Source organism: Homo sapiens, chromosome 2 (genome assembly GCF_000001405.40).
Source record: "Homo sapiens chromosome 2, GRCh38.p14 Primary Assembly".
Lineage (NCBI taxonomy): Eukaryota > Metazoa > Chordata > Mammalia > Primates > Hominidae > Homo > Homo sapiens.
In genome coordinates, this window is record NC_000002.12 from 40,308,895 (window position 1) to 40,321,391 (window position 12,497).

Sequence of the window (12,497 nt, forward strand, 5' to 3'; positions counted from 1 at the left end):
GCATAAATCTTCCTGGGGAGGAGTGGAAGAAATAACCTTGCAAAATATTTGGGGGACTGGGTCCTGTGGACAGTTGGTCTCCATAGTTAACTGGAGATGTTGAAATTGCATTCATGCAACCTAAAATGCTTAGACATGGTGAAATAACTAGTTGAACCAATTATTTTGCAGTGAAAAAAAAAGCTTCACCAGTGAAATCCAACCTGTTTTGTTATTGTTGATGTTTCATTATTTTTACTGCATTTAGCTTTTGAGGGGACACATACCAAGGTGACAGTGCTTTAGGTAAATTTTGTTTATTCCTTATTTATCTTCTTATTCAAGAGGTATTTCTAATATTTTAGGCAGGAGCTGCATTTTCAACACAGGAATAAAGTTTGTAGATATTTATTGCAGCTTCCTGTTGCTGCTATCTCTACAGTAATCATCATAGCTTCTTCCCTAGGGAAAGAGTGCTTCAGGCTTTGGAAGGCGCACAGATAAAAAGGATACGTGTTTTTGGCTGGAGCTACCTGATTCTATGATCTCCCTAAAATTGGTTACTGAAATATTCTCAAATGTCTAAGCAGGTCATATTGTGTAAATGAATGATCTCCTGAATATTTTACTTTTTTTTTTTTTTTTTTTTGTGAGACGGAGTCTCGCTCTGTTGCCCAGGCTGGAGTGCAATGGTGCAATCTTGGCTGACCATAATTTCTGCTCCCAGGTTCAAGAGATTCTCCTGCCTCACCCTCCCAAGTAGCTGGGACTACAGGTGTGTGCCACCATGCCCAGCTAATTTTTGTATTTTCAGTAGAGACAGGGTTTCACTATGTTGGCCAGGCTGGTCTCAAACTCCTGACCTCATGATCCGCCCGCCTTGGCCTCCCAAAGTGCTGGGATTACAGGCGTGAGCTATCGTTCCCATCCTAACCATTTTTTATTGATATATAATTTACATATAATAAAATCCAACATGTTTAAAGTGTATAATTCAGTGGTTTTTAGTATATTCATAAGGTTGTGCAACCATCACCATTCTCTAATTCCAGAACATTGTATTCAGCCCCAAAAGAAACCCTGTACCAATAACCATTCACTCCTGCTTTCCCTTCCCCTCAGCCCCTGGCAATCACTAGCCTACTTTTTATTTCTGATTATTTCATATAAATGGAATCATACAATATGTCACCTTTTGTGTTTGGCTTCTTTCACCCAGCAGAATGTTTTCAAGTTTATTCATGTCATACATGTATCTGTACTAACATCTTCCAAGTAATTACTGTGTCCAAGGTAATGAGGTGTTGAAGCTTTTCTTTTCTTCCAGATGTATGGAGTTGGTGCAGACCCAGTCCAGTCTTATGACGAGCCTTGGATGCCATGGTCACAGGCAGCACATTTACGGTGTAGCCCTAAGGGTTATGGGAAACCCAAGTAGTTGGGTTAACCCAGTGAGACATGAAAAACTGCCCAGAACACAAGCAAGAAACAGGTCATAATTGAGAATTGAGGAAAGAAAGTGCAAGACAAAGGTGTTCAGATACACAGTTAAGATCTGAGTCCTGGGTCAGGACAGAATCAATTAAGAGAGAAAGAACAGTGGGTGAGAAGAGGTCAGTGGCCAGGGATGTACACCAAGCAGCCAAGGATCTGTAGTACTCGGGTCTGTAGCAGCTGCCCTGACTCAGGCCATGTGACTTCAGAGTTCTCTGTCACAGAAGCATAGAATATTTGCACTGGAGAAAAATTTAGAGCTATATTCTTTAGCACCATGGTTTTGAAGATGAACAATCTGAGCTCTAGAGGGGCTAAGAGACCTCCCCTCAAGCTCACCAACCTTAGTGATCACTTCCTTCATCTCCCTCCACTCAGTAGAATACATTTTCCACAATAGCTCACTGCCATGGGACCACGGCATGGGATCCCAACAGATGGATCTGGTCATATGTTAGTGCCAAAATGCAGTTTAGCAACCATTTACTCACATACCCTTATACTATGTGACAATCAGCAGAAGGTCTTAGATATTTTTATATTAGCTTAAAAGAAAAGTTTGATGTTCTTTGACCTAATTTTTATTGGTTTAATTGTCTAAATACCTGGAGTTCCTTTACATTTTAAATAAATTTAATAGTATCAATCTATAGGTTTAGAAACTGAGAGAAATAATTTTTATTGGTTAATTGTCTAAACACCTGGGGTTCCTTTACATTTTAAGTACATTAATAGATTAGTATCAATCTATAGGTTTAAGAACTGAAAGAAATGAATGAGGTCCCCAACACGTCAGTCAATGGGAATTAGAACAGTGATGCCCAAAATATGCACATAAATATCACGTGATGACCACTAAAAAACACTTGGTGTTCAACAGAATTGTAAAATTAGTAGGTCAAAAGGAATGACTCCAAAACCCTTCATCATTTAACATTCAAAGCTGTAACTTTTAAATCAGTTTCTTCTAGCATCATTGTATAGAAAAAAATCATTTTTTCTTCAGAAAAAAAATTAAAAATAAATAAATTTTAAAAATAGCCTTCAGATTAGTCAAAAAATTTTGATGCATTCATATGAGAAAATCGAAGGCATTAATATGGCGGTATGATGTATGTCTACTGAACTCAAAAGTTTAGTAACATGTTGAGTGAAATAAAAACTATAGAAGAACATTTAAAATTTGATGTCTTTATATATCTTACAAGTGTGTTTATTTATATTTGTGTGTATATACAAAGAATATATCTGGAAGGACATCCATAAAGTATTGACAATTGTATCCCCAAGTAGTGGAATTATATAAGGATTTAGTTTCTATAATTTTTTGTTGTTTTGTTCTCTTTATCTTCTATTTTTTTTTCTGGAATGAACATGGATTACTTGCATAATTAAAATATTAAAAATAGACTTTGTTTTGAATATTGTGTTTGCAAGACTGGTTCATTATCAGTTTCTACAACAAATATCATTTTAGAATCGATAACAAAAATAAAAGCAAGTTGTCCTTATCATCTCCACAAACTCAGAAAATAGTTCTACATCAAATATAAACCAGTACAAAGAGGCACTTGTGAAAGGAAACAAATGTTTGGGGACTTGACCTACTCCCCTTCCCTCCTCCCTTGCGTCTCAAAGAGGTACAGCTCATTCTCACTCCTTTTGATTTATTAAATCACCATCTTCTCCCTAGGCTAGACAAAAAATTCATGGTTAGGATTTACCCTCAAGCTTCAGGCTGACTACATTGTATTTGAAACAAGCAAGTCATCTCTGTCTTGTTGCAAAGTTTACAGGAACATCACCTCAATAAGCACACTTGCTGAGCTTATTGTTATCCACCTTTACCTCATAGGAAAGCCCTACTAGTAATGGACTTTGAATCACCTTCTTTGTTTATTCATGAAGTTGAAAGCTACAATAGATCATGATTATTTTCCAATAAAACAAACTACCAGGGTCATCGTGATGCGCAACTGTGAGGGGTACTATTTTCATCATAGGTTATATTAATGGTGCCACTTTGCTCATCACACATCTGCTAACAGTGGTCCAGGAAACTTCATCCTGTAACATTTTAATCAAATTCTGCTTTTCTATTCAGTATTTGACTCTGAAGGGCATTTTCTCCACAAATTATAAAAGTATAAAGGGTTTTAGATAAGTACAAGTATAAATATAAATAAAATATACAGGTATAAATATGTATATGGAAGCAAATTTTTCTATATATCCTGTATATTTCATAAGTTTCTATAAGGATGGACTTCTGATTCTAAACCAATGGGTCACATACATTGGAAAATACAAGATAAGATTGCATACCAAGTTAATCACATAAATAGAAGCAGAAGTTCCTACTTTTAGATTTGGAACCATGGTGTGCCAGATATAATGCCAAACTTTATCAACTGTAGAAAACTATAGATTAGTTTTAAATTGTATATTCTTTTCACAGTTACTCCCATGTTCTAGAGATCGATTGTTCCAGTTTTTTAACAGCTTTATTTGATGTATCACTGACATATAATAAACTGAACATAAAGTGTTCAATGCGATAAATCTAATGGGTTTTGAAATACATACACACATATGTATATGTGTGTATAAAATATATGTATACATATGCTGCATATACTACGTATATACACACACACACATATATATGTACCTTTGCCATAATCAAGGTAATAAACGTATCCATTACCCCCCAAAGTTCTCTTCTCTAGCTATTCCCTCTCCAAGTAATCAATAATTTTATTGTCACTGTGGATTAGTATGAATCTCCAATAATTTTACACAAATAGAATAATCCATTATGTACTTTGGGGAGGGGAAGGAGGAGAGTCAGGCTTTCACTCAGCCTAATTATTTTAAGAGTCATCCATGTTGTGTGATATATAAATAGTTCATTCCTTTTTATTGCTGAGTAGTATTGCTGTGTATGGAAATGGTATAATTTGATTACTTATTCACTTGCTAATAGATATCTAGGTTGTTTTGAGTTGTACAAGTCTTTGTATAGCTATATGCTTTCTTTTCTGTTGGGTAGATACCAAGGTGTAGAATGGCTGGATTATATGATAAGTGTATGTTTAACTTTTAAAAAAACGGTCTCCTAAGGTAGTCGTACCATTTTACATTCCAACCAGCAGTGTAGTTGAGTTTGGGTTCCTCCATGTATTTATAAATATTTGGTGTGGTCAATTTTTTTTTAATGAGACAGGTTCTTCCTATATTGCCCAGACTGGTCTTGAACTGCTGGGTTCAAGCGAACCTCCCACCTCGGCCTCCCAAAATGTTGGGATTACAGGCGTGAGTCACAGTACCTGGATATGGTCAATTTTTAATTGTAGCTACTCTATTCAGTGTGCATTACTATTTCATTGGGGTTAATTTACATTTCCCTAGTGAGTAAATGATGTTGAGCATATTTCCATGTGCTTATTTGTTAACATATATTTTCTTTAGTGAAATATCTGCTCAAATATTTGACCAATTTTTTGCTGTGTTTTCTTAATTGTTAAATTTTGAGCATTAATTAAATATTCTGATATAAATATTTTGTTAGATATACTATTTGCCAGTATTTTCTTTCAGTCTAGCCTGTCTTTTCCTTCACTGAACAACATATTTCAGAGTAAAAGGTTTAAATGTTATCAATTTTTAAAAATAGATAATGTTTTGGATAAAGAATCTAGGAAATCTTTGCCTAACCTAAGTTCTCAAAGACTTTCTTCACCGTTTTTTGAAAAAAATATAATTGAGGTTTTTTATTAGGTTTCAGATACATTTGGAATTTGTGCATATAGTGTGAAGTAATAGATCAAAATTCATTTTTTATTTGCTGCATATACAATATTTCGGGAAGCATTTGTTCTGCACAGAATTGCCTTGTATTTTTGTTAGAATAACAACAACAACAAAATCCAAAACCAGTTTATTCATATATGTGTGGATCTATTTCCATAGTTTATTCCATTCTAATCACTTATTTCTATTTTTATGCCACTACCACACTAGCTTGGTACCTGAAACAATAAAATAAATCTTGAAATCAAGTAGTGTTATCCTTTTGTTCTTTTTTTCCAGTGGTATTTTAGCTATTTTAGGTCCTCTGTATTTATACATGAACTTTAGAAAAAGCTTGAAAAATTTACACCAAAAAAAAAATGCTTATTGGGATTTTCACTGGAATTACATTGAATCTCTAGATCAATTTGGGAAGAACGATTATCTTAAAAATATGATGTTTTCTGACCTGTGAAAGGCATATCTGTCTATTTATTTAGGTTTTCTTTAATTACTCTCAGGAATGTTTTTAATTTTCAGTGTACAAGTCTTGCCCATCTTTTGGTCAGATTTATCCCCAAGTATTTTATATTTTTGATGACATTGTAAATGGTACTGTTTTTCTAATATCAGTTTGCATTTGTTTCTCGTATTTAGAAATACAATTAATTTCTGCATATTAATCTTGTACCCTGCAAACTTGTTAAACTCCCTTACTAGTTTTAGTGGTTTTACAGATTTTTATCAGATTTTTATATAAATAATCATGTTGTCTACGAATACAGAGGTTCATTTCTGTCTTTCCAATCTGGATGTAATTTTTTTTCTTGCTTTATTGCACTGGCTAGCACCTCCAGTACAACGTTGAATAAAAGTGGTGAGAGCCAAGACATCCTTGCTTTATTCCCAATATTAGGAGAGAAGCATTCAGTCTTTCATTGTTAAGTATGATGTTAATTTTAGTTTTTTCATGTATGTCCTTTATTAGGTTGAAGAAGTTCCCACTATTCCTAATATTTCTGAGGGTTCTTAACATCAGGGACAGATGTTGGGTTTAGTTGATTGCCTTTTCAATATCTATTGAGATGATCATATGTTTTCCCTTTTCTAGTTCGTCAGTATGGTGGTTATCAATACAGTAATATGGTTAACATTTTATTATTATTAATGCTGAATTGCAAAACGTAATTTCTAGAAAAATGGAAGGTTAGTCACAGTTGTGCCTCAATGATACTAGATTAGAGTGAGTAAGGTAAATAACCATTTTCTTTCCTAAGAATTTTTTTTTTTTTTTTTGGAATTTCAGTTGGCTATCCCTGTTACAACTGCTTTTGTATCTATATTTGCTACATCCAACTGGGTTAGTATTGAACTAGCGTTTAAAAAGGGAAAAAGAACAGTGAATTTTAAAGTTGGTATGTAACTTAAAATGTGACCCCAAATCATGATCCCTGCTTGAAGAATTGGTCAAAATAAATAAAAATGGATCACATGCTCTTTAATGTCACTGTCTTGTCTGAAATCAAACCTTCAGGAATATTTATCTGAAGTCTTTTCATGTAGCTAAAGTGCAATCATCTTGGAGACTTATTTTCCAGTAACATGTCCCAGAGATAGAAATTTATCTAAATGTTATCTAAGTTCTTTATAGCCTTTGGCACATGGTGATAATGTATTAAGAAACAAAAGGGGGAAAATACTCAAAAGCTTCTTGCAATGAGAACATTTGTCACTGGTATGTGTCATGAAACGGACCTGGGCATGCAACCAAGTTAAGTAATTACACTGGTCTCAGGCCAATTTAAATTGTGTGCTATAGACCTTCTATGTAGAAAATAGTCCATAGGTTCTGCATACAAGCATCACATGCAAAAAAACGTGATATGAAAGTCTTTTGTTCCCCAAGAAGGACCTGAATGTCTGTCTGTCGACAAGACAACCTCTGTGGGTACCTCACTGACATAGTATACATGGTGAAAAAGAAAGTGTCAATTGGTTGTGATCATGATCAGTAAAAACCTATTTGGTTTATAAGCCTGGATCCAATCACACTGATATCATTCTGGACTCAACTGTCCTTTGTGGTTCAAGGACATAAGAAAACTGAAGAGAAGGCTTGCAACTTGGATGTTGAAAAGAAATTTATTGAAAGGAACACCACTTGAATAACTTTTACTACCTCCAAAAAGCAGTATGTTCTCTCTACTGGAAAAGACCTAAATACACTCAAAAAGCTTACTGGAGGATTTTTTCCTATTAATTTGAACGTCGTATAGGAACACAAAATTTGGTTAAATATTTGATAGATAAGTTTGGTATTAAAAAGTCCACTTGGTTCATTATAAATATTAAAATTAGGAACATGTGTTCTTTGTTTAAGCCTGATAAAGCTTTAGCTGAGATCATGAGTTTTCATAAAACAACTTTTCACAACACAATAATGTATTAGGTCAGGGTCTACTGCCCTCCTGCAGATTTTGCCTGATAGTATTTTCATACAAACCTCATCACTCCTGCTTTTTCTCAGATCTTCTCTGAGCTTATTTCCTAATGCAAATCTTGATTTATATCAGGGCCCTAACGTGGCTGTCCAAAATACCTCCCTCCCCCAATTTGTGTTTTATCTCAATACATTACCCAGTGGTGGCCCAGCATCTCAGAGTGCCCAACATGTAATCTTAGTCTCATAGGGATAAAGGAAAGCAACCATACCTCAGGGCATTCATCATCCCTGAAAGTCCCTCTCCCTGTCTTACCATGCTTTATGTCATCATCTGGCTCATTTATTTATTTATAAATAGCCCTCCACTCAAATAACACTCCTGAAGGGTGGGGAATTTTTCTACTTTGTTCACTCATACGGAGTAAGTGCTCAAAAATTGTGTTAAACTAATAGCATTCAGTTTTAGTAGGATTAGTTGCATTAAAAATACATCTCCTAGAATTAAGATTGCATAATATGTTACTGAATAGTTCGGCTTCTTTGAAGGTATCCTTGGCAGAGACAAGGTTAGTTCTCCCTGACTCAAGCAGAGATACTGTTTTCTCAATTCTCTTGTTCGACTAACTCCTCTCTGTTATTTATTACTGGAGACAGACAGTATCCATCACTTCTCAGATTGATGCAAGGCAGTGGTAATAAAATAAGCTACATACATCATGTAATCATATTGGTTTTATGAATCATATTTTTCTGAATTAGGGAAAATAGTTGTTTTGGTTTAAGCTGGAGAAAAATTCTGACTCATGTCAACAAATCACTGACAAGGCAAGCACTGATAAAAATAAAAAGCTTAAAGCAAGTTTTATTAGAGAAAACTTGCAACAACTCTACACAAACATTGATTAATTATAGGCTCACTTGGTCTTCTTTAAAATGAAAATACTTTTAAAGACATGACTGTATGTCAACAACTAAAGAACAGGATATATAACTAGAAAAATAGGAATATTTATTTAAAATGTTATACTGCATTGTGCTTTTTTTTAAAGATAAAAGCTATTTAAAAATGAAGCAAGCTCAATTTGTAATTAGGACACACAATTCCTCAAACTCTGTAAGTCTATTACCTTAAGTTGCCCTTACTTAAAAAATTTATTCTTATCTGAAAATTATGGCAATGTTTAAAATGTTTAAAGAAAACAGTAAATTTGTGTTATGTCCCCAATTTTTGAAATTTACATTTTATTTTCATCATACTGAAAACCTGATGCTGACCTTGGCTTCACTCCTCGAGGTGGTATGTAGAGTTCTGTGAGGTCATTGCTGTGGATATTCAGCATGCACTAACAGTGCAGATTTCCTGGTGGGTCAGGGCTGAGAGGATTGGAGAGCAACACTGAAGTGTATAACAAGAGACCAGTGCAAGCTTTGATTTGAAAGAAGGCACTAAATATGGATTCACGGCAACAAGTACTATCACATGGAACACTTAATTATTTTTCTTTCTCTCTTTACATCTTAAGCAGGCAAAGTCAACTTGCTGGAACTGGGCTAAGTTTGGGAGTGGTAAAAACAAAAAGTCATAATCATCCAGTGATTTTTAAAATTCTGGTGTGCGTCAGAATTTCCTAGAGGAATGGTTCAAAATATGATTATCTGAGCCTCATCTCAAAACTACCTAATTAGAGCCTCTCCTGAAAGAGGCTGGGCATCTGTCTTTTAAAAACCTCATTCCAGGATATTGTTCTACTTAACACTATTCAAGAGCTGTTAGTTTTGACTCACACTTACTATGTACCAAGGATCATACTAAATCACTTCAATGTACTACATTAACTAATGATCCTACAATTCTAGGATTTTGGTATTATTTTTATATCTATTTTACAGAAAAGAAAAAAAAACTTTATAACATTTCCAAAGCCATGTGACCAGTAAGTGATGAAACCAGAATCACCTGACTTCAAATCACACACTTAACTCTTATACAAACTGCCTCCAACCATATGGAGTATAGTGCCCCCTATAAATGTAGACCGTTGCTGTCTAAGTAGAACCTAGAGATATTTTACAAAATTCAGTCCCAAAATAGTGCTACTATTTTTATTTACTAACTGCAATTGATGAGGAAAGTATATGCATTGAAATTCAGTCTTTAGGACTCCGGAAGTTACACAAGGCTCTATCAGACGAAAGCCTACCAGCTATATCAAGTGCCTACTGTGTGCAACGCTTAGGAAAGTTATTCTCTGGAAGTTGTTCTTTTTTTTCCCTCAACTTTTCAATACAATGTTTGAGGGTAAAATTGCTATCTGGGGCAAAGAATTTCTGCAGATGTTACTGTTACTAGAATGTGAACAATGATTCTATGGATTTGCCACTGCTATAAATACACCAACTGGAAAGCTTTCAACTCCCAGGAAACAGGATTTGGAAAGTGAGACAGGAATACCCAGCTGAGAAGGTAATTTAGGTAGACACAATGAGAAAGCCTTAATTCCTGGCATATTTCTGTTAACAGGCAGTGTGGGAATGGCTTTATTTCACCTCTGAGAGAAATCCAAGCGATGGATTGTTTTATGAGATGCGTGTGATCACAATGAGAATTTCCAGTTTCCTAAATAGAACACTTAACAAGTGTTCGTGAAGCTTCCAGCAGGTCACACCATTTTAAATGCAGCACACATAGCTCAACACTGACTCTCTTTAATTTTGCTTTCTTTCACTATTCTTGGAGGTACAGGACTAAGGAACCCACTATGCCTCACTTAATATCATCAGGGTTTTTAGTCTTCTCACTGGTTTTCTGAAGCATGGATTTTTGCAGTTCCTAGTCAATTAATTCTTGGAGCTTCCTTTGTCACCTGGTTGATCCAGCTTTGGTAGCACTGAATTTCTCTCTAGACCATGTGTTCTTTATCAGAGACGTTCAAAACACGTTTTCTGAACAAATGATTAAGTGAATGAAAGAGTAGATGCCTCACTAAGCAGCACATCTCATACTCCCATATATTATATATGAGCAGTTCCGCCTGTCACAAAGCTCCTCCTTATGTTAGGCATGACAGTAACACGAAGTCTTCATTTGACTTTCCTCCATTAGCCATCATTCTGCCTTTGGAGAGCTCTGCAAACAATTCTTCCCCAGGACAACCATTTTAGTAGCTGAAAGAAGTTATTATGAACTCCCAAGTCCTAATTATTCTTCCACTTTCTTATCAATTTCTTAAATAATATGACCTCTAGATATATCACAATTTTGCTCCTCCTTCTGTGGAGAGAGCTTACCAATGTCGTTATTAAAAAGTGGCACTAAAAACTGAACACAATATTGCTGATGTGAACAAGTGGATGGTTCTGCATCTTAAATGGGGATTATGGCACCTCCCTTTTAAAGCTGTTACATGGAAATAGAATGATGGTCAAATGCCAAGGGCACAACAATTTAAGAGATGGGACTCAATAAATATTGGTATTTGTCTCATGTCATCATTATCATCATTACCATCACCATCATCTTCATATTACCTAAGTCTCTCACAGCCTGTATAGTTGCAGGTGTTTTTTATTTAATGTAAGTGCCACATACTACATTTGTAAATACACATACATTGTTTTTCCCTTTCAGAAAAATTTCAATACTTATTCTTTTTTTTCAATGCAAAAATAAACATCCGATGTTTTCATTAAAATATAGATTAAATATTAGCCAGGGAACAGGGGTCAACCTTGTCCTCCAACATGACATTATTCTCCAAACCATTATGTCCACTGCCCTTAGTTGCTGGTACAGTTTACCTGGCATTAGCTGATGGACTTCTGAAAATATAATTTACTTTTAATGAGTTGTGTGTGTTTCATGTTGTGGATAACCCTAAACAAATAAATGTAAAACTACAATTTGATGTCCAAAAATAAGGAAGAATGGGATTTGCCTAAAATCAGACGTTTATTAAATAACAAGGAAATAGCTTTCAGCTATATTAGGTATCTTAAAACTCTTAACATTGTTTTGAATTCACTTTGATGCGTGTCTCACTGTTAAGAAAAGTGTTAAGACAAGTGAAGAATGGTTTGATGTTAAATGGATCATGGAACACAGGAGATCATATTTAAAAGGGAGGTTTTCCTCCATTTTCAATATTTCCTAAACTTAATCTCTTAAGAGTCTTCTCAAAAGAACAATTTATGAACTCTTTAATGGAAATGCATTAAAATAAAATGTGGCCGACCTCTTCTTTCCTTGTAGCCTCAGAACACTCTATCAGTCACTACTCAGAACAAATTAGCCAATTTGGCTGTGAGTTACCCACAGTTTTTATCCCTTCACTCCAATAGCCTGGATCCCTGGACTGCCCACTCTAACCATGCAGGCGGGGGATTGTGTGTGAGAAGGAGCCATGCAAGCCACAGGGAAGAGGCTGTAAACTCCCTGAATTGGGAGCTAAAAACCCTTTGTTCGATTTGGCTCTGTATATTTTTCAAGATCATACATCTACTTATGATGCCAATGAATCAATTTCCTCATCTACAAATTAAAGGGGATATGAGACATCTTTATTTGCAAAGTCTTTCTGTCGTACAAATCCAACAGCTGTATATTTTCCTTTTCACATAATGACTTTAGCATCTCATGGACAAACATCTGTTAAGGAATGTAATTGTTTTTTCTGAAATCTCGGTGTATGGTTTGCACAAGTAAATTAAGACATTTATAACCAGTATAACCATGTATATCATTTCTAACTGGGATTATATTTTTCAGAAAAGAAACTAAACCTCAAGATTT

At 34.9% G+C, this 12,497-nt stretch overlaps 1 protein-coding gene across 23 annotated transcripts in view, besides 1 other annotated feature; it reads right to left on the reverse strand.

Moving 5' to 3' along the window:
- SLC8A1 (solute carrier family 8 member A1) overlaps window positions 1-12,497 on the reverse strand; it is a 415,166-nt gene that overhangs the window by 211,625 nt on the left and 191,044 nt on the right. The gene's annotated exons all lie outside the window — the stretch shown is intronic.
- Window positions 9,932-10,433: an enhancer, noted in NCBI's record as "NANOG hESC enhancer chr2:40545966-40546467 (GRCh37/hg19 assembly coordinates)". NCBI's record gives its function as "activates a minimal SCP1, AML or CMV promoter by ChIP-STARR-seq in primed H9 embryonic stem cells {active_cell/tissue: H9 hESC(primed)}" and the evidence as "EXISTENCE:reporter gene assay evidence [ECO:0000049][PMID:30033119]".